This window comes from Homo sapiens, chromosome 1 (genome assembly GCF_000001405.40).
Source record: "Homo sapiens chromosome 1, GRCh38.p14 Primary Assembly".
In the NCBI taxonomy this organism is placed as follows: Eukaryota; Metazoa; Chordata; class Mammalia; order Primates; family Hominidae; genus Homo; species Homo sapiens.
The window spans coordinates 108,316,051-108,342,503 of record NC_000001.11 but is presented as its reverse complement, the minus strand read 5'-3'; the positions used below and the strand labels follow the sequence as shown (position 1 = coordinate 108,342,503).

At 37.2% G+C, this 26,453-nt stretch overlaps 1 pseudogene, besides 1 other annotated feature; it reads right to left on the bottom strand.

Moving 5' to 3' along the window:
- The window catches only part of SLC25A24P1 (SLC25A24 pseudogene 1), a 64,715-nt pseudogene continuing 42,912 nt past the window's right edge, over positions 4,651-26,453 (bottom strand).
- Positions 6,879-7,056: a silencer, noted in NCBI's record as "fragment chr1:108878070-108878247 (GRCh37/hg19 assembly coordinates)". NCBI's record gives its function as "represses an EF-1alpha promoter that drives an FKBP-Casp9 reporter gene in an ReSE screen in HepG2 liver carcinoma cells {active_cell/tissue: HepG2}" and the evidence as "EXISTENCE:reporter gene assay evidence [ECO:0000049][PMID:32094911]".

Here is a 26,453-nt window from a genome sequence, read left to right as displayed (position 1 = left end):
TTCAGACATGAAAATGTTAAGGAAATTCATTACCACCAGACCTGCCTTACAAGATGTCTTTAGGGAAGTGTTAAACATGGAAGCAAACAAATGTCACCTGCCACCACAAAAACACGCTTAAGTACACAGCCAATGACACTATATTCTACCGTGTTAGCCAGGATGGTCTCGATCTCCTGACCTCGTGATCCGCCCACCTCAACCTTCTAAAGTGCTGGGATTACAGGCCTGAGCCACCACGCTCGACGGATTGGTAAATTTTTTATTACTGATTAAATTTTGGAACTCATTACTGGTCTGTTCAGGATTTCTGTATCTTCGTGATCCAGTATGGTGTGTATATTCCCAGGATTCATCCCTTTCTTCTAGATTTTCTATTTTGTGTGCACAGAGATATTCATAATAGTCTCAGATGGATTTTTGTATTTCAATGAGGTCGTCAGTGATGTCACCTCTGTCATTTCTGATTGTGTTTATCTGGATCTTCACTCTATTTTTCTTCATTAACCTAACTAGCACTCTATTCATTTTATTTACTCTTTCACAAAACCAATTTTGGTTTTGTTGATCTATGGATTTTCACATCTGAATTTCACTCAGTTGAGCTCTGGTTGTGGTTGTTTCTTTTTTCTGTTAGCTTTGGGGTTGCTCTTGTTTTTCTAGTTCCTCTAGGTGTAAGGTTGTTAATTTCAGATCTTTCTAACTCCTTGGTGTAGGCATTTAGTGTATAAACTTTCATCACTGCTTTAGCTGTGCTCAGAGGTTCTCATATATGTTTGTTTTCATTAGTTTGAAGGAATTTTTTTAAATTTCTACCTTAATTTCATTCCTTACCCAACGCATTCGGGAGCAAGTTGTTTAATTTCCATGTAATTATATGGTTTTGAGAGATCTTCATGGTATTGTTTTCAATATTTATTGCACTGTGCTCTGACAGTGTGGTAGGTACAAGTTTTCTAGTTTAATTAGGTCCCACTTATTTATTTATTTAAGTCCCATTTATTTATTTCTCTTTTAGTTGCATTTGCTTTTGGGGTCTTAGTCATGAATTCTTTGCCTACAGCAATGTCCAGAAGAGTTTTTCCTAGGTTGTCTTCCATAATTTTTATCATTTCACACCTTAAAGTCTTTGTCCATTTTGAGTTGATTTTTATATAAGGTGAGAGATAGGCTCTGCCTTCATAAATGGATTAATGCCATTATCACAGGAGAGGGTCCTTATAAAAGGGGGTGTTTGGCTTGCTTTTCTCCCTCTCTCTCACAAACCAGTGTGATGCCTTTGCCATGTTATAACATAGCAAGACAACCTTCACCAGAGACAGTCCCTCAGCCTTGGACTTCCCAGCCTCCAGAATCATAAGCCAAGTAAATTTCTGTTCTTACAAATTACACAGGCCAGGCATGGGGGCTTATGCCTGTAATCCCAACACTTTGGGAGGCCAAGGCGGGCAGATCACAAGGTCAGGAGTTTAAGACAAGCCTGGCCAATATGGTGAAACCCCGTCTCTACTAAAAATACAAAAATTAGCCGGGCGTGGTGGCACACACCTGTAGTCCCAGCTACTGTGGAGGCTGAGGCAGGAGAATCGCTTGGACCTGGGTGGCGGAGGCTGCGGTGAGCCGAGATCATACCACTGCACTCCAGCCTGGGCAGCAGAGCAAGACTCCATCTCAAAAATAAATAAATAAATAAATGAATAAATAAATAACACAGTCTGTGGTATTCTGCTATAACAGCATAAAAAAAGACTAGGACAAGGACTCATAGTTGCTTTTTGAGTTCTGCAAAGGTTTATAACCCTCCTTTAGCATATTATGACCAATATGCTATGACTTTCTCGGCTGCTTTCTTTAAAATAAATGGGTCAATAAACTAATTTTTAAAATATGCAGTCTGAGCAGAGTGAGAGTATCAAAACATCCAGCAGTGCCTTCAGAAACACGGGCTCTGCATGAAACTAGGGAAGTGGGCACTCTACTACAGTACTCTAGAGATCTGAGGGCTTACTGTTTTGCTTCTGTGGACTGCAAATACATTCCTGAAAGGATTCTGTACTTGTCCAGAGAGTTCTTTATCTTTCTGGATGAGGTGCAGATTTCTTGGAGTCAAAAATTTCAATAGGCACTTAATCCCAACCATCTCCCAGATGACAACTGCTATGGTCTTCTTTATATTTAATTCCTAGCCAAAAATCTTAATCACATAATATAACATTCTACTACGCTCTTCTGGTGGTCTCTGGCTTAATTTAGCTCAAGTTCCACAATTTTCTCCACTCTCCTACTTTAGGTCTCAGGTCCTCTTCCCTTGTATACAAGGTTCCTAACTCTTCTCACCTTAATTGGGATGGGCCTGAGTGAAACACAGTAACCCAGGGGCCATGAGACAGAATTTTACTAATTTGTGTCACAGGCCTGCAAGGTAACCCATGGGGAGGCTGATCTTTAAACTGTGCTATCTGAGAAACCACACAGAAATGTGCCTCTGTGTTAAACTCAACTTCTGATACCACAGATCTTATAATATTATCCAGTTATTTTCTCTCCAATGCTTAGAAAGAATTGCTGGCATTTCTTCTTGATTCATTCTAGATTCAAGTCTCAGTGTTCATGTTACATTGTGATAACCATTTTTACATAAAGGTTATCTGTCAAGCGTTCTCAGTACTTAAGAGCAAGAAGAGTATCAGTCAGGCTTGGACTCAAAGAGAACTGAGAGGCTGCACACTAAGAATGTGGGCTAAATCATCATTTTTAAAGTTTTTTACAAAATATCCAAGTCACAGCCAAGATTATGGCTGACAGCAGGATCTTACGCAAAATGAAGGCCCTGAAGGTGAGAAATGAGCACAATCCTTCATAAAGGGGGAAATGTTAGGAGATTTGCTTAGGGCACTTACCTCTCTAAACTTAGTTTCTTCATTTGAAAATCAGGATAATAATCTCAACCTAGTAGAGTTGATAGAATTAAGCAAGAGAATCTTTAAAAGTGCTTTGAAAGGGTACTTGGCACATATCAGGCACTTAATAAATTTTAATTTTCTAATTTCAAAAAAGACAGATTAGACTTTGACCTCGATACAATAATCAAAAAGCCTAGACTTCTACCTACTCTAAAGAGAAGTCTTTTACTTAGAAGCCAGCATTTTCTAACTAGATCTATGGTAATAATGTCTGAATTGATCTCCTTGGCTCTATTATCTCCTTTTTTTTTTTTTTAACTAGATGGATTCTTGCTCTGCTGCCCAGGCTGGAGTGCAGCGGCACAATCATAGCTCACTGCAGCCTCTAACTATTGGGCTCAAGTGATTCTCCTGCCTCAGCCTCCCAGGTAGCTGGGACTCCACACATGTGCCACCATGCTAATTTTTTATATTTTTTTTGTAGAGGCAGAGTCTCACTTTGTTGACCGGGCTGATCATGAACTCCTAGCCTCATGTGATCCTCCCATCTAAGCCTCTCAAAGCATTTGGTCTACAGGTGTGAGCCACCACACCTGGCCCTATCTCTTCTTTCAATGGTTTCATTCTATTGTCAAAGTTACCTTCTTACACTAGAGAATGTTATTAGCATATATAATCCAAAGCCCCTATTGCCAACCTACAGCAGTAGCCTTGTAGCTCACTATATCTTCCTATATACTATACATTTTCAAATGACCAGGTTACTTGCAATCTTCCCAATGTTCCATGAACTCCATTTTCATGTTACTGTTCAAGTTGTTTCATCAACTTGGAATGCTTTTTAAAACAACTACTGCCATCACTCAAATTTCTTACACACCCATTCCCCCAGGGTTCACATAAGATTTACCTTTCTCTCTTCTGTTGATCTGTGGCTTAATTTAGCTCAAGTTTCACAGTTCTTTCCACTCTCCTACTTTAGTTCTCAGCTCCTCTCCCCTTGTATGCAAGGTTCCCAACTCTTCCCACCTTAACTGGGATGGGCCTGACTAAAATATTCCTCAAAAGTATCTTCTTCTCTTTGTTCTAATTCCACATCAGTCTTCTTATTACCTATTAGGTTTCCAAGTAGTTTGACACTAGGAAACAGTGTGCCCTGGAGAAGGGATGAAAGTTCTTTGGTTAATGGAAAGTATTAAACACCACTATAAATTAATGGGTTTGCTTTGTGATCTATATCTCAATCCTGTGAGCAATTTTTGTTAATCTAGTACCAAAAAACTGATCATTTTAAGGAAATTAATGAGGTCAAACTTTTGGGCCATCAAGGCTAAAAATCAAAGCCTGGACTTCAGTCAGTTGAGCCAGGCGTCCTTCATTTGAGGCCTGTTAGTGTCCAATCAGCCCATTACCACTGTCTCTCCACTCATTTATTTAATCCCAGGAAAGAATATAATTTTTTTTATAAAAGTGAAGAGAAGATATTTAGGGCATCAACGCTGAAGTAAGAATTGCTTCAACAACTATAAGATAATGGATTTAATATATAAAATTCTTTCACTTGAATGTTTTCAACCAGAAGATAAATAAAATTTGTCCAGTGTTGGATTTGTTATCAATGCCAACTTCCTTATATAAGCTGAAAATATCAAGAATTAAAATGAACCAACAGTGTTCACATTTACAAATAAAAAGGCCCGGAGATGTAAGAAAGATGTTATCGTTATTCCATCTAAAATGTGATAGAAGGAATTAGAAACCAATTTTCCATTTTGCTTAAGTAAAAGAAACAGACTCCAAATTATTTGCTATAACATCAATTTTAAATGCACTGATTTTTCTGTTAGTGTATAAAGCATTTTCAAGCTCAGCTTTTTTAAAATAAGTTTTCAAATGTAAAAACGTTTTCAAAGATAAACTCCTATAACTGACCAAATGTTTTATGTTACATTCAAATCAAATCAAGAACAAATTTTAAATTAGGATTCAAGGGAGAGTAGTAGAAAATGTAAATAGTATTCTTTGGATATTAAATATTTTAACTTATTCAAGAACTTTATAAAAATTATTATTTAATTTATGTATTTTGTAATAATGAAAAAATATTTTAACAATTATCTGACATTTCTTTCCTCTTAGGAAAAGATAACATCTCTTTATAACACAGGTATTATCTTACAATTAAGTGATTACAATGACAACAATTTTATATATCACTTCCAGGTTAATCCAAAAAGTGGCTTCACTTTCTCATAGGCCACACAGCCAACGCCTACTGCAGGAAGCACCTTTATGATGTTTGAGGTGAAACCCCTGTAAAATCCCAATTTTCCTTCTTTGGTATATATTTCTTGAATGAGCTGAATCATAGAAGTTGTTTTTCCTTTTTCCACTGGGGCTATAAATTGGAAAAAAGTATAATTCAATATTTAATATTTATAAATTAAGAAAATCCAATGATAAATGGGAATTTACAGAGATTGAAATTACTTCAGAATATACCTCTCTCCCTACCTGTAGAATGTCTTGTGCTGTTCAATATGGTACCCACTGGACACATGCAGCTATTTAAATTTAAATTAATTAAAATTAAATAAAACTAAGAATTCATTGCCTCAGTTGCACTGGTAACAATCCCAAGTATTCACTTGGGAATAGTGACTATCATACTGAATAGCACAGATATAAAATATTTCCACCATCACAGAAAGTTCTATCAAACAACACTTGAAAGTCTTTCATGAGGGACCTCAAAGGAATATTTGGAATTGGATTTGACACAAATAGTTAGAGAGGAAAGGATGGGTGATGGGATGGATAGAGAGATTCTCCACCTGGAGAATGTAAATTAAAACCAAAAATCTAACTAAAAAGACAAGAAGAAGGAGAATGTAAAATAATATCACTTAACACATGACCTTTAAACAGTTTAGTCAAGAAGATAACAATAGGATTGTGTGGGGGTTTTTGCCTTCTTGAAAAGTGATAAAGATATTTTCTTAAAAACTAAATTCCTAACATTTCACTAAGACAAAACAGATATCCTCCCTTTTCTTAATATCTCTTCCTTAAGTAAATTGGAAAAAAAATTGAGTTCAATTCCACAAATGTATTAAGTTCCAGTTGCAGAATATGACAATAATAACAGAACTAGGGTAAAATTACACGATCATATGGAATAACTGTTTATTTGAAAAAACTATAATCTTTTCTATTGTTCTGCATGGTACTTTCTAATTGTAAACTCCTTAAAGAGATCATTAGTAACTGAAGAAAATGTGGAGAATTCCAAACAATACTTTGAGAGGAAATAAAATCTAAAATGCACAAAAAGCTTTAGTCAGTAAAATAATAAATTCGGGATTCTTGCTTATCAATTCTACAGTTTTTGTCTTTGAAGTCATTAATTTATACTCATTTAAAACATAATTTTAAACTTATTATTCATTCTTTTAAAAAAAAAAAAAACTCACCTGAAGCCTGCATGCGAGTTCTAATAAGGTTCACAGAGAAACTGGCTAACTGACCACAAGTATTAGACAATGTACTACATCCCACCAAAATCATTATCCCAGGATTCACAGAGTTTCCTGCATAATTTTCTAGCCAAAAATTCTTCAAAATCTGGCAGAAAAGAGAGTAGTAAATATATTACTGCACAAATACTATGAAATAGAAAACAAAACCTACTACTATGCAACTCTAAATGGAATAAAGTTTTAGTAAGGTGGGGGCTATCCCTGTAGTTTTTTTTTTGTTTTGTTTTGTTCTGTTTGTTTGTTTGTTTGTTTTGTGAAACAGAGTCTTGCTCTGTCGCCCAGGCTGGAGTGCAGTGGCGCAATCTCAGCTCCATCTCCCGGGTTCACGCCATTCTCCGGCCTCAGCCTCCTGAGTAGCTGGGACTACAGGCGCCCACCATCATGCCCGGCTAAATTTTTTGTATTTTTAGTAGAGACGGGGTTTTACCGTGTTAGCCAGGATGGTCTCGATCTCCTGACCTTGTGATCTGCCTGCCTCAGCCTCCCAAAGTTCTGGGATTACAGGCGTGAGCCACCGCGCCCGGCCTCTATTCCTGTAGTCTTATCAGGGACAGGGAGAACTAATGTTTTCAAACCAACATATTCATACAGCCTCAGTTTGAGTTCCCCTGCGTTTTGTTTTGGGTTTTGGTGTTTTTGTTTGTTTGTTTTTGTTTTTTTGTTTTGGGGGGGGGGTTGCTTTGCTTGTTCTTTGGTTTGTAATTATATTCAAACAAAAACCTGGAGATTCTCACAGGGATCAACACAATATTTTAGAGAGGAAGACTACACAATCCACTCCAGGTTAACAAAATCACATTTTCTCAACTTTTAAGAGTCCTCTTTCCCTATTTTCTTTTTCTTGCATAAAAGTGACTGGAAGAAATTAAGAAATATTGAGTTTAAAACATCACTAAGTGCTTCCAGAACTGTTTATTTATTAAAGGACAGCAACTTTACCATTATGCACTGCAATGATTACTACAAAATGTATAATTTGATGCTTTTGAAAAAATAAATTTTGAAATGTCTTTACTCAGTATGCACTTATTACAGTCATGTAACAATACAAAGAGAGATGTGTAATGGCATCTGGCAAATGTGTAAAGCAGAAGATACTGAACCATAGAAATCAAAGAATGAAGGCAGCCCAACACAAACAGCAGCAACAAACTTATTGTAATAAGATCATAGATGCAAGAAAACAAAAAGAAAAATAAATGCCTGCTATAATATTCAATACTTTAAACATCTACGAAAATATAAGTGTACTTGTAAAAGTGCTAAAGGAAGTTATCTGTCTTTCACTTGATGATGACACCACTTGCCAAAAATTCCACTGGGCTTGTATCTAGAGAACTGTCCTTCCTCCACTGAGAATGAATTTATTCTAATCACACACCTTCACCTGGTTCTTATGACAAAATGGTATATATATTGCTAAGATGCTCTTCCTGAAACAGATGTATGGCCATAGAAATGAAATGATCAGTTGAAAGGGGAGTAAGCTGGCATCCTGCCTCTGCATTACACTATCAGCTTTTTTGTCCTATCTCCATCCTGCCTTTCTTCCTCAAGCCACAATTACTCCTATCCTCCATTCTCATTTTTACAGCTGTGTGATAATATCTCAGCTTTCACAGTCTTACTTATACAACAGATTTTTCTGGGCAGTTAAAAAACCTGAATCCTAGGCCTCTCCTCAGGATAATTTTTAAAAAATTTTAAATCTATTTATTTATTTTGAGACCAAGTTATGAGACTGGCCAATTTTTGTATTTTTGGTCAAGATGGGATTTCACTATGTTACCAAGGCTGGTCTCAAACTCCTGGGCTCAAGGGATCCAACCCCCTCAGCCTCCTGAAGTGCTGGAATTATAGGCCTGAGCCACCGCACTCCACCTCCTCGGGATAATTAAATGAGAATATCTCAGGATGTGGCCCAAGAATCCTATTTTTTAAAGATCCATATGTATGTGATTCTGATATGCATCCAGGATTGAGAACCACTGTTTTATCAGAACTTAACATTATTATTACCAAAAACTGATTCACAAAAAAAACCAAATAAAAAATTATTACTAGAATACCAGATATGTAACATATAAAATGAAAAATCAAATAAAACCATTCAATTCACTCTTTGTCAGAAGCTGTTTTAATGAAAAGTCATTTATAACCATATTTCTACAATAAAAATTGTTGTTCCATATTTGCAAATCTAACATATAATTGTCATATTATGAGAATAAACTCACCTCATAAACAGCAAGATCTATGCCGGCATAAGGTACAATGCCTAGCAAGTTAGGAGTATAACCTTTGAAAAAGGATCTGACACCTTCTTGTTTTAGAAGCTTCTTGCCACAATCAATAATCCCTGAATACTCTCCAGTTTTACCTATAGCCAGTCTGGTCTTTAGTACCTAAATGTGAAAGAATATAAGAAAGATATATTGATCAGATTCACCCATCTTATTTAGCAATCCAGGGATTTGCATTATCTCATGATGTTTATAAATCAGAGAAATCATAAAAGAAAACAATTGTAAACATGATTGTAACTTCTCAATAACTGGCTCTTACTTATGAACAACTGATACAGTACAGAGATATTTTAAAATTATTCAAGCAGGAAAATAAAATCAATCCCAGTGTCTTTGAGTGATATATCCATGCAAATTCCTTTAATGTGCCGAAAGGCAACATGTTCTGAAATAAATTCATCATTGCTTCGGAAAAAAGAAAACAGCCAAAATTCAAGGTAAAACATATATGGTCATGTTAAAATAAAGAACCAGTATGAATAAAACATTCTACATATGCTTAAAGTACATACTCTGGTAACTATTTTAACAGTGAGGCCCATAGACTGCAATTTTATATAACTTGGGCTCATTCTGTGCTCATAAAGTATTGATATTCCAGAAGCTATAAGGACAATAGTAGGCCCAGGTAGGCTGTATATGATCAATATTCCTATGCACAATTTCATTCTCCTGATAGAGTCTCACTCCTTGTCATCTTAATTCTATTAATTTAAAGGTGCTTTATACATGCTTGGAGAAATGGCTCTCTAAAACAGCCAGGACATGTACCTCTCGTATCTAAAATAAAAGCTAAAATTTTTTTTAAGTATAAACTTTGTCTTGATTGAGAAAACTGTGTATCTTGACGGGGCTGCCTCTGAGTGGTCAGTAGGAAGCCTTTTGTTTTATGGACTTCTCTGCGGAACTAGACACGTTGGGTAGTCCCATTTTTAAAACTCTATCCTCTCCAGGGCAGTGCACTCTCCTCTTACCCAAGTAAATCTTTTCTGTCTGCTTCACTGGCATGTTTTTCTCCTCTCACTCCCTAAATTAAGGCCTTCTCAAAAGTCATCTTCTCAGCATTTTTTAAATCATTACTTTTTCATAGGCAATCTCCTGGCCTCAAATAACACCTCTCTCAGGTGACACACCAACACTTGAAATCTTAAGTCTCAGTATCACATTTGCAACGGCCTACTGAAAATCATAACTTGGTGGTCCCATCAACAGCTCAGTTTAAATACGCATAAATCTGAACTCATCACCTCTCTTGAGTCTGGCTCACTTCCTCCCGTTCTCTACCTGTTTTCAAGATGTAACTCAGATGCAACTCTCCTAAACACTCAGGCACAGGACCCAAATAGAACTTCGCCCTCTTCCTTTCCCCTGCTTTCTACTTTTCGAGTTGACAGTTCTCAAGACAGCTCTATCATGAGTTAATTTCCCCTAGTCACCATCATATTTCGAACTCTTATTATCAGTTCCCCGAATGATGGTAATATCTTGCATCTGGTCTTCCCATCTTTCTAGTCTTTTTTGCTGTGTTGCCCAGGCTGGAGTACAATGGTGCAATCATGGTTCACTGAAACCTTCACTTCCTGACAGAAGAGTGATCCTCCCACCTCAGCCTTCCGAGTAGCTGGTGCTACAGGCACACTTCATCACACCTGGCTAATTTTTGTATTTTTTGTAGAGATGAGGTTTCACCATGTTGCCCAGGCTGGTCTCGAACTCCTGGGCTCAGGCAAACCACCTGCCTCACCCTCACAAAGTGCTGGGATTACAGGCATAAGCCACCACACCCAGCCTCTATTCATGTCTTTCATGAGATCCCCAGCTTGAAATAATTTCTCCCCTTCTCAATTTCCATAGCACTTCATATTGATCTTTCTATAATTTATCATTTTTATTTTAGATTATTATTGATGTGCATGTTTTATTTCCCCTTCTAGACTACAAGCTACATGGCCAAAAATCCCTGTATGACTCTTCTCTCGATCCTGCATAGCGCCTAGCAAAATACCTTAAACTTAGTAGGTGTACAATACAAATTTACTCACTGAATGAATAAGTGATTCTATCAATCAATCAATCAATCAACAAAATTGTTTATCTTCTTGGTTCATATACAGTAATACCTGTGTCCTAAACAACAACCATAAAATCTACTGAGGCTGACTTTTTTTTTTTTTTTACAGACATGCACCACCATGCCTTGCTAATTTTTGTATTTTTAGTAGAGGTGGGGTTTCACCACGTTGCCCAAGCTGGTCTCAAATTCCCGAATCAGGTGATCCACCCACCTTGGCCTCCCAAAGTGCCAGGATTATAGGCGTGAGCTACTGTGCCTGACCACCAACTCACTCTTGATATAAGATTTTAATCCTATGGCTATAAAGCTGCTTATTGTACAAAATACTTACCTGAGATTCATTTATAAAAAGTTATAATTTGCATTAAAAGTATGACTTTAGTTAAAATTTTATAATACATACCTCCATGGGGTAAATACAGGTCTGGGCAGTTACACCAGCCAATGAGCCAAATATAAATCTTTCAAGAATTCCTAAATGAACACCATCAAAACTAAGCAATTTCTTATACTGTATAAAAAAATTGAAATGTATAATATTAGTGAAACAAGATATATATTGTTTCTATATTTATGACATTAATTAATTAGTAGTATAAAATTATATTTAAAAGTATACTAGATACCCAATATTAGCACAACCTAGCAGAATTCCTTTCATTTTTATGCAATTGATTATCTAAGATAATAAGTAAAGCCCTTTCATTTAGTCTCGCTTCCTTTTTTTGGTAGAATAAGTTGACAATATTAAATCACTTTATGCATATTTATGAATGTTCTATTACATAAGAGGCATATAAATGACACAAATGAGACGGAGATCATATCTTTTATCGCTTTTCAGCACCACACTTTACATACAGAAAGCACTCAATATTGTTTAGTTACTGGATAGTCAGGAATAGTAACTTAATGTGAGAGCCTTTTTATTTTTATTTTTAGAGAAACACTTTACTCCTTAGCCTAAGTAATAGCTAGTATATCACAAGAACACATGTGGAGAAAAAGAAAATGTAAATCTAACCTTTAGATAAGGCTTCACAGGAACTAAAGTCAACTTTCATTGAGATTAAAACTGGAAAACCACTTAGAATCCAAGATAGCTCTAGTAAGCATATTCTTTATAATGAATACTAGATATAATATTCCTTTTATTCATTTATATGTCTTCCTTTTAGTAACAGGGCTGACTCGGCTACACATTACATTTCCTTTTTCTCCTTCTTAGATAGGTTATGTGGCTAGGTGTCTAATTTTGGCTAATGAGCTATGAGGGGAAGTTGCATATACAAATTCTGAGACATCACCTTAAAGACACTTGTCTTTCCTCTACCTAGGAAATGGTAAAGACAGGTACAACCTTTGAAGCCAAATTGTATTGAAAATGGCAGAGCTGTAATGTTAACCCTGGATCACTTGCCTCTATCTTATTGAAGTTACTGTATTTTGGAATCTTTTTGTTACAATAGCTTAGAATAAACCCTAACAAGTATAGAAATTTGTTCATGGATATAGGGTGCTGCCATAACTGAAAGCTAAAATATGTGGCACTTGCTTTATTGTTAGGAAAGGACACAGACATTACAGGCTAAGAAGGTGATGACCTTTTTGATGTTTTATGGAAATGCTTGACTGAACTGCCTCCTGTGATAATTTTGAAGGTAGACTGTGTGAGCCTGAAGTTCTAGGAAACCTCACTGTAAAATCTCAGAATGTTGTTAGTGTTGTTTGCTCCTTGCTGCTTTAAGGAAGATCTATGAGACAATGCTAAAACATTGCTCTAATTTATGCCCCAAGGCCTTCTCCAAAGCCACTTTACAAGCAGAAGTGGGAGGAATAGAGCTCTGCTAAGGGAGCTTTCTTTGCCTGGATTGAGAGTCAAGAAACATGGCACTTCAGATTTGAAAGGCACCTGCTTCTGTAACCCAACAGAAGAAAATAAGGTTATACTAAAGAGCTTGGCTATCTGCAAAAATCAGATGTTGCTATAATAATCTCAAAGATCACTGACCACAGATCACTGTAACAGACATAATACTAATAGATTCTTGCAGGACAAGTCCTTTGATGACCTTGACAACCAAGCTCTTCCCTTTCTTGCTTGTAGTTCTCAAGAATAACTGTAGAATGTGCTGGAAATGCAACATCCTGAGATAGGGGTAACTGGCCAGACTAGCCTGGGCTCAGTCACCAAGCCTCCTAAAACAGGATATTCTACAGCACTAGCCCACATGCCAAGTTGCCCCTGAATATAAAACCCAGAGCTGAGTGCCTTTCAGAGTCTCTCAGCTGCAGTGTAACATGGGACACATGTAGACAAGACTCCATCCACCCTGGATGGACTTCCTGAGCTTTGGGGGACTGGCTTGCCATGAATTCTACGCTACTGTTGGCCCTTACTGCCTATCTATGAGTAATAAAGTTCCTTCGCTTAATTTATTGTGTGTGTTCTGTCTCACCAGAACCATGCAAGTGGTAGAGTAACCAATGCACAGTGAACCTGCTTCACAACCCTGAGACAAGGCATTGGAGGTGATGCTAGAACATATTGGTAGGGGACTGAGGATGTGAGAAAGGGAATAGCGAAAGCTGATAAAGTATGTGTTACTAAGCAAGCTGCAATGATATGCAACTGGGGCTTAATCTTGTTAAGAACTTCTGGGGAATAATATAGACCATAGACTTCAGAATTATCCTACCCAAGTGAACAAGGGCATTAGGGTATTCATCTACTAATGCCCATCACTTATTAGTGAAAGCTGCTCCCAGGGGCCTTCATTCCCTATCATTTCCAGCCTGCCATTTCCAGAAACAGAACAGGCTCCAGAGGCCAGAGGAAGACCTTAGGCAAATAGATTTTAGATGCTGGAAGGTAAAAGTCAGGTCACCTTTCACTGATATGGTAAAGCCCAAGGATACATAGGTGAGCACTTATATATATGGTATTTTACTGCATAGTGGTAACAGTGAATGGGGTAATGATAGCAAACAAAAAGAGAGAAGAACAAAGCAACTAAAAGTTCAGATTCCTCAGGGATAAAAGCCCATGTTACCCACCAAACAAAAAACTAGCCAAAGTACTGGCCAAATGAGATAACAAATATCAAGTATAGCTTTGAGAACAGTTACAATAGTATTGGTTATAATTCCCTCCTGTTGGGTAGAGGAAACAGCATATGAGAAGGACCTGAAATAAAAAGGAGCATAGTGTACTAGAATAAGTGAAAAAAAAGCCAGTTTGGCTGCAAAGAAGAATGAAAGTGAAGAAGAGGGCAGAGGCCAAGTCATTTTGCACCTTGCTAGTCAAAATAAGGATTTTAGATGTTGCAATTAAGAGAAATGAGTGACCAGTGGAGGGTTTTAAGGTAGAGAGATGACATAACCAGATTTATCTTTTTAAGAGACTACTCTGGTAGCAGTGTGAAAAATGGATTGGAGATATGAAGATACCAGTTGGGAATCTATGGCAGTAGTCCAGGCAAAAGATGACTGGCCAGCAATACTGATTAAGAGATAAGAAATAATAGATTTCTGGATGTGTTAGCAAGATGGTGGACTAAAAGGTCTCAACATTAGTCCCCCACAAAAACAATGTTTAAACTACCTACCGATTAAAATAGCTTTGAGAGAGCTCCAGAGTACAATGAAGGAGCTGCAACAACCCAATGGAGCACAAAGCTGAGACTGACCACAAAGGAAAACACAGGAAGCATTTTACCTTTGTCACCCTAACTCTCAGTCCTGTCCAGCTCTGCACCAAGAGAGATCTCCCAGGTCATAACTGCCCTCTGGTGGGAGGAAACAAGAGCAGAAAGACCCCAGCAGCCTTCACCACCAAGGACTACCACAGCCTTTGCCAGTGCTTCCCTCAGCTGACAGCTGCCTGAAGTACACATTTCTGTGCCCCACAACCAGAAAGTGCTGCCACTGTGCCCCGTCCAGGCCAGAGCCATGTACTATCCAGCACATACCCCCATACCCCAGCTCGGCAACTGTTCCACTCATGCCTGCATTCCAAACATTAGCACCACCACTGCCCCACACATACTTGTGCCTCAGATTCCGATAACACACAGACAGTTTGTGTGTTCTACACTCCAGATCTAGGCACCACTGCCACTCTGTGTGTCCTGGACAATGGCACCACCACCACTATGAGTACCCTTGTATCCCAGACCCTAGTACAAAGAGGGATCCTCTCAACCACAACTTCTCCCCATGAGTGAAAAGGAGAGAAGGGCATGCCAGCAGCCTTCACCACAGAGGACCTAATCAGCCCTCACTGTCACTGCAGGCACCTTTAACCTTGGTCGCCAGGGACCACTGCAGTCTTTGCTGATGTGGACCTAAGCTGATGGAGATGCCTGCAGTCTATGCTGCTATACTTCCCCTTTAACCAAAGCTGCCGCACTCCAGCCATCCACACCCTCACACCTACCTGCAGACGATGGTTTTCCCCCACCAAAGCCAGTCTGTAAAGCCTAGAAGTGACTCTTCCTTCAAATGTTTAAATGCAAACACAAAGTTACAAAGAACACAGGAAGAAATCATGGAAACTTTTCATCACCAAAAGAATATAATAATTTTCTAGTAACTGGACCCAAAGAGATGGAGATCTACAAATTGCCTGACAAATAACCCAAAGTAATTGTTTTAAAGAAGTTCAGCAAGCTAGAGAAACATATGTCAACTTGAAGACAGGTCATTTGAAATTATCCAGAAGAGAAAAAAGAAAAAAGAATGAAAAAAGAAATTCTATGGAATTTATGGGACACCGTCAAGCAAATCAATATATGCATTATGGAAGTTCCAGAAGGAGAAGAGAGATAAAAGGGGAGAAGAGAGATAAAAGGGAAGTAGAGAGCTTATTTAAAGAAACAATGGCCGAAAACTTGCCAAATCTTGAAAGGGAAATGGACATCCAGGCTCCTGAAACTCAAAGATTCCCCAAACAGGATCAACCCAAAGAGGAATACACTAAGACACTTTAGGATCAAATTAAATTGCCAAGGTGAAAAACAAAGAGAATTCTGAAAGCAGTAAAAGAAAAGTGACTCATCATATATAAGGTGACCCTTATAAAACTATTAGTTAATTTCTCAGCTAAAAGATGTATAACAGCAAAGTGTGGAATGATACAGTCAAAGCACTAAAGAAGAAAAACTCTGTCAATCAATAATACTATACCTGGAAAAATTACACTTTAAAATGAAAGACAGATAAAATATTTCCCAGGCAAACAAAAACTGAGGGAGTTTGTCAACACTATACCTGTTGTACAGAAATGCTTAAGAGAATTCCTCAAATTGAAAAGAAAATATGCCAAACAGCAATGCAAAAACATGTGTAACAATAAATCTCACAGGAAAAGGTAAATATATAGACAAATATATATTAATGTAACATTGTAATGGGGATGCACAAATTACTTTAAGTGTAATATGAAAGTTAAAAATATAAAAATTTGTTAGCAAAATAAACTATCAACAGATCAACAACAGATCAATAGAGTAAACAAACAACCTAGAGAATGGGAAAAAATTTTTGCAAACCACACATCTGACAAAGGTCTAATATCCAGCATCTATAAGGAACTTAAATAAATTTACAAGAAAAAAAAAAACAAACCACCCCATAAAAAAGTGGGCAAAGGACATGAACAGATACTTCTCAAAAGAAGATATACATGTGGCCAACAAGCATATGAAAAAAACAACTCAACATTATTCATCATTAGAGAAACGATCAAAACACAATGAGATACCATCTCACACCAGTCAGAATGACCATTATTAAAAAGTCAAAAAATAACAGATGCTGGCAAGATTGTGGAGAAAAAGGAACACTTACACTGTGGGTGGGAGTGTAAATTAGTTCAAGCATTATGGAAGACAGTGTGGTGATTCCTCAAAGACCTAAAGATAGAAATGCCATTTGACCCAGCAATCCCATTACTGGGTATATACCTAAGGGAATATAAATCATTCTGTTACGAAGACACATGCACACATATGTTCATGGCAGCACTATTCACAATAGTCAAGACATGGAATCAACCTAAATCCCCATCAATGATAGACGGGATAAACAAAATGTGGTACATATACACCCTGGAATACTATGCAGCCATAAAAAAGAATGAGATCATGTCCTTTTCAGGAACATGGATGGAGGAGGTGGAGGACATTATCCTTAGGAAACTAATGCAGGAACAGAAAACCAAATACTACATGTTCTCACTTATAAGTGGGAGCTAAATGATGAGAACACATGGAAACATAGAGGGGAACCCCAGTGTTCCCCTCTGGGAACCTGGGGCCTATTAGAAGGTAGAAGGTAGGAGGAGGGAGAGAATCAGAAAAAATAACTAATAGACACTAGGCTTAACACCTGGGTGACGAAATAATCTGCACAACAAGCCCCCATGACACACATTTACCTATGTAACAAACCTGCACATGTGCCCCTGAAGGTAAATGTTCAAAAAAAAATAAAAAATAAAAACTTTTTAAAAATTAAAAAAGTTGTTAATGAATACACAATACAAAAAGTATCAAACTCTGATTATAAGAACACAGAATGAGAGAGGGAAGTAAAGTGTAGAGTTTTTGTATGTGACTGAAGTTAAGTTGTATCAACTTAAAATAGATTATTACAATTACAAATATTTTATGCAAGTCTCAAAGTAACCACAAAAGAAAAACTCTGATACACAAATGACAAAGTGAAAAGAGTCAAAACAAATCATTGCAAAAAAAATCATAAAATAACCAAGAAAGACAGGAAGAGAAGAAAACAACTGCAAAACAGAAAACAATTAACAAGATGGCAATAGTAAGTTTTTACCTATTAATAATCACTTTAAAGGTAAATGCATTAAACTCACCAATCAAGAAACATACAGTGGCTGAATGGATACAAGAGACCCACTTTATATATATACATATGTTGGGTTTTTTTTCTCTTATTTTCGAGATAAGGTCATCTTCCTCTGTCATCCAGGCTGGAGTGCAATGGTATGATCATAGCTCACTGCAGCCTCGAACTCCTGAGCTCAAGTGATCCTCTTGCCTCAGCCTCCTGAGTAGCTAGGACTACAGGAAGGGCTTTTTTTTCTTTTTGTAGAGATGGAGGGGTCTCACTATGTTGTCCAGGATGGTCTTGAACTCCTGGCCTCAAGTGACCCTCCTGCCTCCGTCTCCAAAAGCACTGAGATTACAGGTGTGAGCCACCATGTCTGACCTCACTTTATATTTAAAGACACATATGGGGTGAAAGTGAAGGGATAGAAAAAGACAGTTCATGCAAACAGTAACCAAAAGAAAGCATGCATGGCTATACTTAGACAAAATAGACATCTCCAGACACAAAGAATGACACTATATAATGATAAAAGGAGTGATTGAACAGGAAGATATAACAAATATAAATATATGTGCACCCAACATCAGAGTTCCTAAATATATAAAGTAAATATTGACAAAACCGAAGGGAAAGATAGCAATGCAATAATAGTAGGGAACTTTAATACCCCACTTTCAGTCATGGATAGAACCCCCAGACAGAATATCAATAAAGAAACAGGTGATTTAAACAACAAATAAACCGAATGGACCTAACAACCATATATAGAACTTACCACCCAACAGCAGCAGTAGAATACTCATTCTTCTCAAGCATACATGAAACATTCTCCAGTACAGACCACATGTTAGGTCACAAAACAAGTCTTAACAAATTTAAGAAAAGTAAAGTCATTCCAAGTATCTTTTATGACCACAATGGAATAACACTGGAAAATAATAAGCAACAAGAAAATGAAAAAAATTCACAATATATGCATACTAATCAACATACTCTTGAACAACTAATAAGTTGTTTCAAAAGCAATTTAAATTCCAATTTCTTTCTTTTTTTTTTTTCTTTGAGATGGAGTTTCGCTCTTGTCGCCCAGGCTGGAATGCAGTGGTGCAATCTTGGCTCACGGCACCTCCACTTCCAGGGTTCAAGCAATTCTCCTGCCTCAGCCTCCCAAGTAGCTGGGATTACAGGCGCCCGCCACCACGCCCGGCTAATTTTTTGTATTTTTAGTAGAGACGGGATTTCGCCATGTTGGCTAGGCTGATCTCAAACTCCTGACCTCAGGTGATCTGCCCACCTCGGCCTCCCAAAGTGCTGGGATTGTAGGCGTGAGCCACCGCGACCAGCCAAACCCCAGTTTCTAGAAGGAAACCAAAAGAGAATTTTAAACATATCTTGAAGAAAAAAAAAACTACAAGATATCAAACCTTACAGGATGCAGCAAAAGTAGTACTAAGAGGGAATTCTATAGCAATACATGCCTGGATTAAAAAAAAAAAAAAGATCTCAAGGAAGCAACCTAATATGAAGAAACTAGCAAAAGAAAAACAAACTAATCCCAAAATTAACATAAAGAAGGAACTCATAGAGATTAGAGAGTAGAAATAAATCAAATAGAGAATAGAAAGGCAATAAAAGAAATCAATAAAGCTGAGTTGCTGTTGCTGTAGTTGTTGGTTTTTTGTTTGTTTTTGAAGATAAACAAAACTGACAAAACCATAGCTAGACTAAGGAAAAAAAGAGAGAAGGCTTAAATAACCAAAATTATAAATAGGCCGGGCTTGGTGGCTCACGCCTCTACTCCTAGCACTTTGGGAGGCCAAGGAGGGCGGATTACCTGAGGTCAGGAGTTCAAGACCAGCCTGGCCAAAATGGTGAAACCCCATCTCTATTAAAAATACAAAAAGTTAGCCAGGCATGGGGGCGGGCACCTGTAATCCCAGCTACTCCAGAGGCTGAAGCAGGAGAATTGCTTGAACTCGGGAGGCGGAGGTAGCAGTGAGCCGAGACCGTGCCATTGCACTCCAGCCTGGGTGACAGAGCGAGACTCCATCTCAAAAAAAAAAAAAAATAGTGGCCGGGCGCCGTGGCTCATGCTTGTAATCCCAGCACTTTGGGAGGCCAAGGTGGGCGGATCACGAGATCAGGAGATCGAGACCATCCTGGCTAACACAGTGAAACCCGGTCTCTACTAAAAATACAAAAAAATTAGCCGAGCGTGGTAGCACGAGCCTGTATTCCCAGCTCACGGGAGGCTGAGGGAGGAGGATCACTTGAACTCGGGAGGCAGAGATTGCAGTGAGCTGAGATGGTGCCACTGCACTCCAGCCTGGGTGACAGAGCAAGACTCTGTCTCAAAAAAATAATAAAAATAAAATAAAATTAGAAATAAAAAGGAGCATTATGTTACAAAAATAAGGATTATAAGAGACTTATAAGGCTTGTAAGAATTATATGCCAACAGATTGAATAACTTGAGAGAAACTGATATATTCCTAGGAAAATACAATCTACCAAAACTGAATGAAGAAGAAATAGAAAGCCTGAACATACCAATAACAAAAAGGAGATTGAATCAGTAATCAAAAACTTCCCAACAAAGAAAAGCCAAGGGCCAGATGACTTCATGGACAACTTCTACCAAACATTCAAATAATTAATACCAATCCTTCTCAAACACTTCCAAAAAGTGGAAGAAGAGGGAACACTCCCAAATTTATTTTATGAGGACAGCATCATGCTGATTCTAAACCAGACAAAGATAACACAAAAAAAGAAAACTACAGGCCAATATCCCTAATGAACACAGATACAAAAATCCTTCATAAAGTACTAGCGAACTGAATTCAACAGCACATTAAAAGGATCACACACTATGACCAAGTGGGATTCATCCCTGGGGTGCAAAGATGGTTCAGTATACTCAAACAATCAATGTGATACAACACAATAACAAAATGAAAGGAAAAAAACACACATAATCATCTCAATAGATGCAGAAAGAGCATTATTTAACATTCACTTATAATTAAAATGCTCAGCAAAATAGGCATAGATGGAACTTACCTCAACACAATAAAGTCCATATATTAAAAGTCCACAGCTAACGTCATAATAAATGGGAAAAAATTGAAAGCTTTCCCTCTAACATCCAGTATAAGGCAAGGATGCCCACTCTTACTACTTCAACATAGTACTGAAATCCTAGTTGAAGCAATTAGGCAAGAAAAAGAAAAGACATAACTAAAGAAAGAAGTAAAATTATCTCTGTTTTTGATGACATGGTCATATATATGGAAAATTCTAAAGACTCATCTCCCCAAAAATGTTGTAATAAACCAATTCAGTAAATTTTCAGGATAGAAAAATCACCATACAAAATTCACTAGCATTTCTGTACACAAACAATGAACTATCTGGAAAGGAAATTAAGAAAATAATAATCTTTAATCTTTTTGCCATTCACAATAGCACAAAAGATTAAAATATGTAGGAACAAACTTAATCAAAGAGGTTAAAGACTTGTACACTGAAAATTATAAAACATTGATGAAGGAAATTAAAGAAGACACAGATAAATAGAAAGACATCCATGTCCAATGATTGAAAGAATTAACATTGTTCAAATGTCTATACTACCCAAAGCTATCTACAAATTCAATGCAATCCCCAAAAATTCCAATGTTATTCCTTCTATAGAAATTTTTTAAAAATCCTAAAATTCATCTGAAACCACAAAAGACCCTGAATAGACAAATCAGTCTTGCGCAAGAGGAACAAAGCTGGGAACATAACCACTTTCCAATTTCAAAACATACTAATTATAAAGCTATAATAACCAAAGGAGGATGGTAGTAAAGACAGACAACTAGACCAATGGAACAGAAGAGAAAGCCTAGAAATAAACCCATTTATCTACAGTCAACTGACCTTTGATAAGATGCCAAACACATGGAATGGGGAAAAGATAGTCTCTTCAACAAACAGTGTTGGAAAAATTGGATATTCACATGTAGAAGAAAGAGACCCTTATGTCACACCATATACAAAAACCAACTAAAAATGGATTAAAAACTTAAACATCAGGCCTAAAACAATACCACTACTAGAAGGAAACATAGGGGAAAAGCTTCTTGACATTCATCTGGGCGATGATTTTTCAGATATGATACCAAAGCATAGGTAGCAAAAGCAAAAATAAACAAGAGCAATTACATCAAACTAAATATCTTCTGCATAGCAAAGGAAATAACTGGCAGAGTGAAAAGGCATCCTACAGAATGGGAGAAAATATTTGCAAATCATATTTCTGATAAGAGTTTAGTATGCAAAATAGGTAAGGAACTCACGCAACTCAATAGCAAAAGAAACAAACTGATTGTAAAATAAACAAAGAACTTGAGTAGACGTTTCTTCAAAGAAGACATACAAATGGCCAACAGGTATATGAAAAGCTCCTTAACATCACTAATAATCAGGGAAATGCAAGCCAAAACCACAGAGAAATCACCTCACACCTTTTAGAAGGACTACTATCAGAAAGACAGAAGATAACAAGTGTTGACCAAAAAAAATGTGAATTAAAAAAAGAATTCTTATACACTCATGATGGGATATAAATTGCTATATCCATATAAAGAACAATATGTAGGTTCCTCAAAAAATTAAAAACAGAACTACCTGATGATCCAGCAATCACACTTCTGGGTATATATCCAAAGGAAATGAAATCAGTATCTCAAAGGGATAATTGCACTCCCATGTTCATTTCAGCATTATTCACAATAGCCAAGATATGCAGGCAACCTAAATGCCCATTGATGAATAAATGGTTAAAGAAAATGTGGTATATAATGGAATATTACAACGGAATACATACAATCCATATGATGGAATATTATTTAGTCTTTAAAAAGAAGTAAATCCTGCCACTTATAACAGGGATGAACCTGGAGGACATTATGCTAAGTGAAATAAACCAGATACAGAAAGACAAATACTATACAATCTTACTTATATGTGGGATCTAAAATAGTCAAACTCATAGAAGCAGAAAGTAGAATGGTGATTGCAAGGGCCTGGGAGGAGGGAGAAATGGGGAGATGTTGGTCAAAGAGTACAAAGTTTCAGTTATTCAAAGTGAATCAGTTCTGGAGATTTAATGTACAACATTGTGAATATGGTTAACAGTAATGTATTGTACCCTTGAAATTTGCTAAGAGAATAGATCTTAAAGGTTCTCATCACACATTTCCAAAAAGACGCTGGTAACCATGTGAAATGATGGGTATGTTAATTAGCTTGATTTTGATGATTACCTCACAATGTATAGGTATATCAAATCATCAAGTTGTATACCTTAAATATACTATTTTTAATTGTCAGTTATACCTCAATAAAGCTATAGGGGGAAAGAACAGGCAAAAAAAAGATATAAGAAATAATAATAATAAAAATAAATAAAAGAAAGAAGTAATAGCATCCCTTGATGCCAAATAATTAGTTTGTATTTTTTTCAAGCTACAAGTTTACAAGGAAATTTCTTACCCTTCATGGTGACATTTCTAAAATGGTTTGTGTAAAGAAAAGAGTTAATACAGCAGGACTAAAACTGCTACCTTTAGAAAAGACTGCCTGCAAAGTTGGCCCTTGGCTGGTATTTGGTAACTTGGATTTGGGAAGGGTTCCCATCATTCCCTGATAAGAATGGCTCGCTGTGCCTAAACTTTTTATGCAAGCAATATTATTTGAGCTGAATATCTGCTTTCCTTGTAGGAGTCTGAAATATTGGAACATGCCATGCAGAGAGTACTTATGTGAGCAATCCCAGTGAAACTTTGGGCACTAAGTCTCTAATGGGATAGACATTTCATGTGTTATTATAACTAATTGCTGGAGGATTTAAGCGTGTGGCATGTGACTCTACAGGACACTTGAAAGCTTACATCTGGTTTCCTCTGGTCTTCACCCTATGCACTTTTTCTCTTTGGAAATTTTGCTCGTATCCTTTCACTGTAATGAATTAGAGCCACAAGTGTGACTATACACTGAGTCCTGTGAGTTCTCCTAGCAAATCACTGAACCTGGGGGTGGTTTTGCAGACCCTGACAGTCTAAAGTATCTGTTAATTTTTTAGACATTCTAACCATTTTTCCAGCTTAACACATGACAGTTGACATTCACATTTGCCACACATTTCCATGGGTTATGTTTTATGTACAATTCCATGCATGCCAGTATAAGGCCCTCTTTTCTCTCCTAGTTGCAAGTAAGTAAAAGTGCCCATTATGTTAAAAATATAGTCTTGTCTATTACAAAAAATAGAAATGTGTATAAATGCTTGTGTCAGATATTGTTCTAGGCACTTTATATACATGTTAATTCATTTAATTCCCACAACAACCCTAATCATTATTTCTTCTATTTTAAGTTAAGGAACATGTAAGAAAACTGAAGCACACAGAGGTTAAGAAGCTTGCTGTATTTTGCATAGCTAGCAAGTGGTAGAGCTAGGATTTGAACTTAGAAAGCCTGGTTCCAGTACCAGACCTTAAGTACTACCTTATAAAATCTCCCTTTTGAGTAAATCACTCATAAACTTTGGTATTTAACTACTATTAATCATAATTTACAACAAATCTCAGTTAACCATTTTAAGCCACACTGATATGTCCTACCAGTCTGACTGAGAACCTGTACTCTAACATAGTATTAGAAACATTGTCCCAAGGTAGGAGAACTGGGACCAAGGACAGGATTCTAACTGTGACTGTATTGCCAACTAAATGTGTAACTTCAAGTAACTTATCCTCTCTTGCCTCAGTTTTTACATCTATAAAATGATGACACTAGGCTCTTAGTAACACTCACTGATGTGCTGTCACTATTCTGGGAATGATGCTATGGTCCCTATTCTAAACAAGCATAATATTTTTCTGGAAGACATTGTTTAAAATATAGGTTTTAAAAAAGAGGACACAAACTGGTTAAGTGGCAGAGGCTGCTAGTGGTATCCCAAGAATCAATCTTCCTTTTTTCCTAAGAAACAAAAATCTACAGTTGTACCTATTGTTTCCCAGTTAAAGACTATATACTTAGATTCCTCTTCAACTAGATGTGTTCATGTGTCCAAGTTTTGGTTAATAATATATAAGCATAAGTATTGTATGTCACTTTGGGGAAGTGTCCTGCATGGAATGGGACATGCCCTTCTTTGCTTCTTCCCCTAGTTGTTACCTGAAACTTAGATGTCATTGCTGGAGTTCCAGCTCAGACTCATGGAGACAAGGATCATACCCTACAGAGGGTAGACAGTGAGCTGGTTGCAAGTGAGTTTCTTTTCACCTTCAAGGCACTTCCATACCAGTCCTAAATTCCCTATCCTCGGACTTTGTGAGAAAGAAAGAAAGTTCTATCTTATTTATGTCACTATTGTTTGGGGTTTTCTGTCACATGCATCTAAACCTAATTCTAGTTTACATAAGTGGTACAGGCAATAAATATACTAGGGCAGAAAGAACAGACACCAAAATAGGTTACTTCTCAGGAAGGGAAACACTTTAGTTCTTGAAATAATTTCGATATGTTAGAAGGAGAAAAAGGGTAACTCAATTAGAAAGAAAGTGTGAGCAAAATCAAGGAGATAGGAAAAGCACAACTTGTTAAGGTATAAGAAAAAGATTCTCTTACTTGAAAAGCAGTATTTGTCAAGCAGCAGTACTGGACATGTTAAGTAGGGATAAATTATGGTAAGTTTTAATGCTGGGATAAGAACTTTATAGAGGGTCCGAGAAGTAAAATAAAATCTCTATTACAACTTAAAATATTACAGCTTATTTTACCTGACCCCACACAACACTCCTCTCATGATAAGATGCTCTGCTATGGGTTAAGGAAAAAACCTGAGTCTTCAAGAAAAATCTAGGGAAGTGGAAAGTGGGTTAACCAGAGAAGGTAGGGCTTCTAGACAGTGAGGAAACAAATGAGATTATATTAATAAATAAAATTGGGCAGGAGCAACTTCTGTTTTTTGCATCTTATGTGGCATTTCTTTCATTCTCTTTTTCCCCATAAGGTGGCGTGCCCTTGGAAAGCTATCAGGAATCAGGATGTGTCCTAAGGGAGCAGAAGTATGAAATGGGCTGCTTCAGTCTGACTCTAGTCAAGTTTGGCACTAAATAGAGAAAAGGGTGTCCTTTGTTGCAGATTTTTGATCCACTCCAGCTCATCAGGGTTGAAGACAAGAAAGAAATTTGAAGCCAAAGTCCTGTTAGTAGTAAACAGTACATTTATCTGGAGTGCCCTTTATGCCACCTGTGTATCACCATAAATAGCGAGGATGACATACTGATGATTTAGGGTCCAGGCCATTTTTTTCCATCTGTGCCTTACCTCACAAATAACAACGCACATATTCCTAGTAATAATCATGAATACACAAACTGGTATGCTTCTTTTATACTTTGCAACAGTTTTCTTTTCTTTTTTTTTTTTTTTTTAAAGAAACAGGGTCTCACTCTGTCACCCAGGTTGGATTGCAGCTGCACAATTACAGCCCACTGCAGCCTCAAACTCCTAGGTCCAAGCAATCCTCCCACCTCAGCCTCCCAAGTAGCTGGGAATACAGGAGTGTGCCTCCACATCTGGCTAATTTTATTTTTATTTTTTGTAGAGACAAGATCTCACTATGTTGCCTAGGCTGGTCTCGAATTCCTGGGCCCAAATGATCCTCTCACCTCAGCCTCCCAAAGTGCTGGGATTATAGATGTGA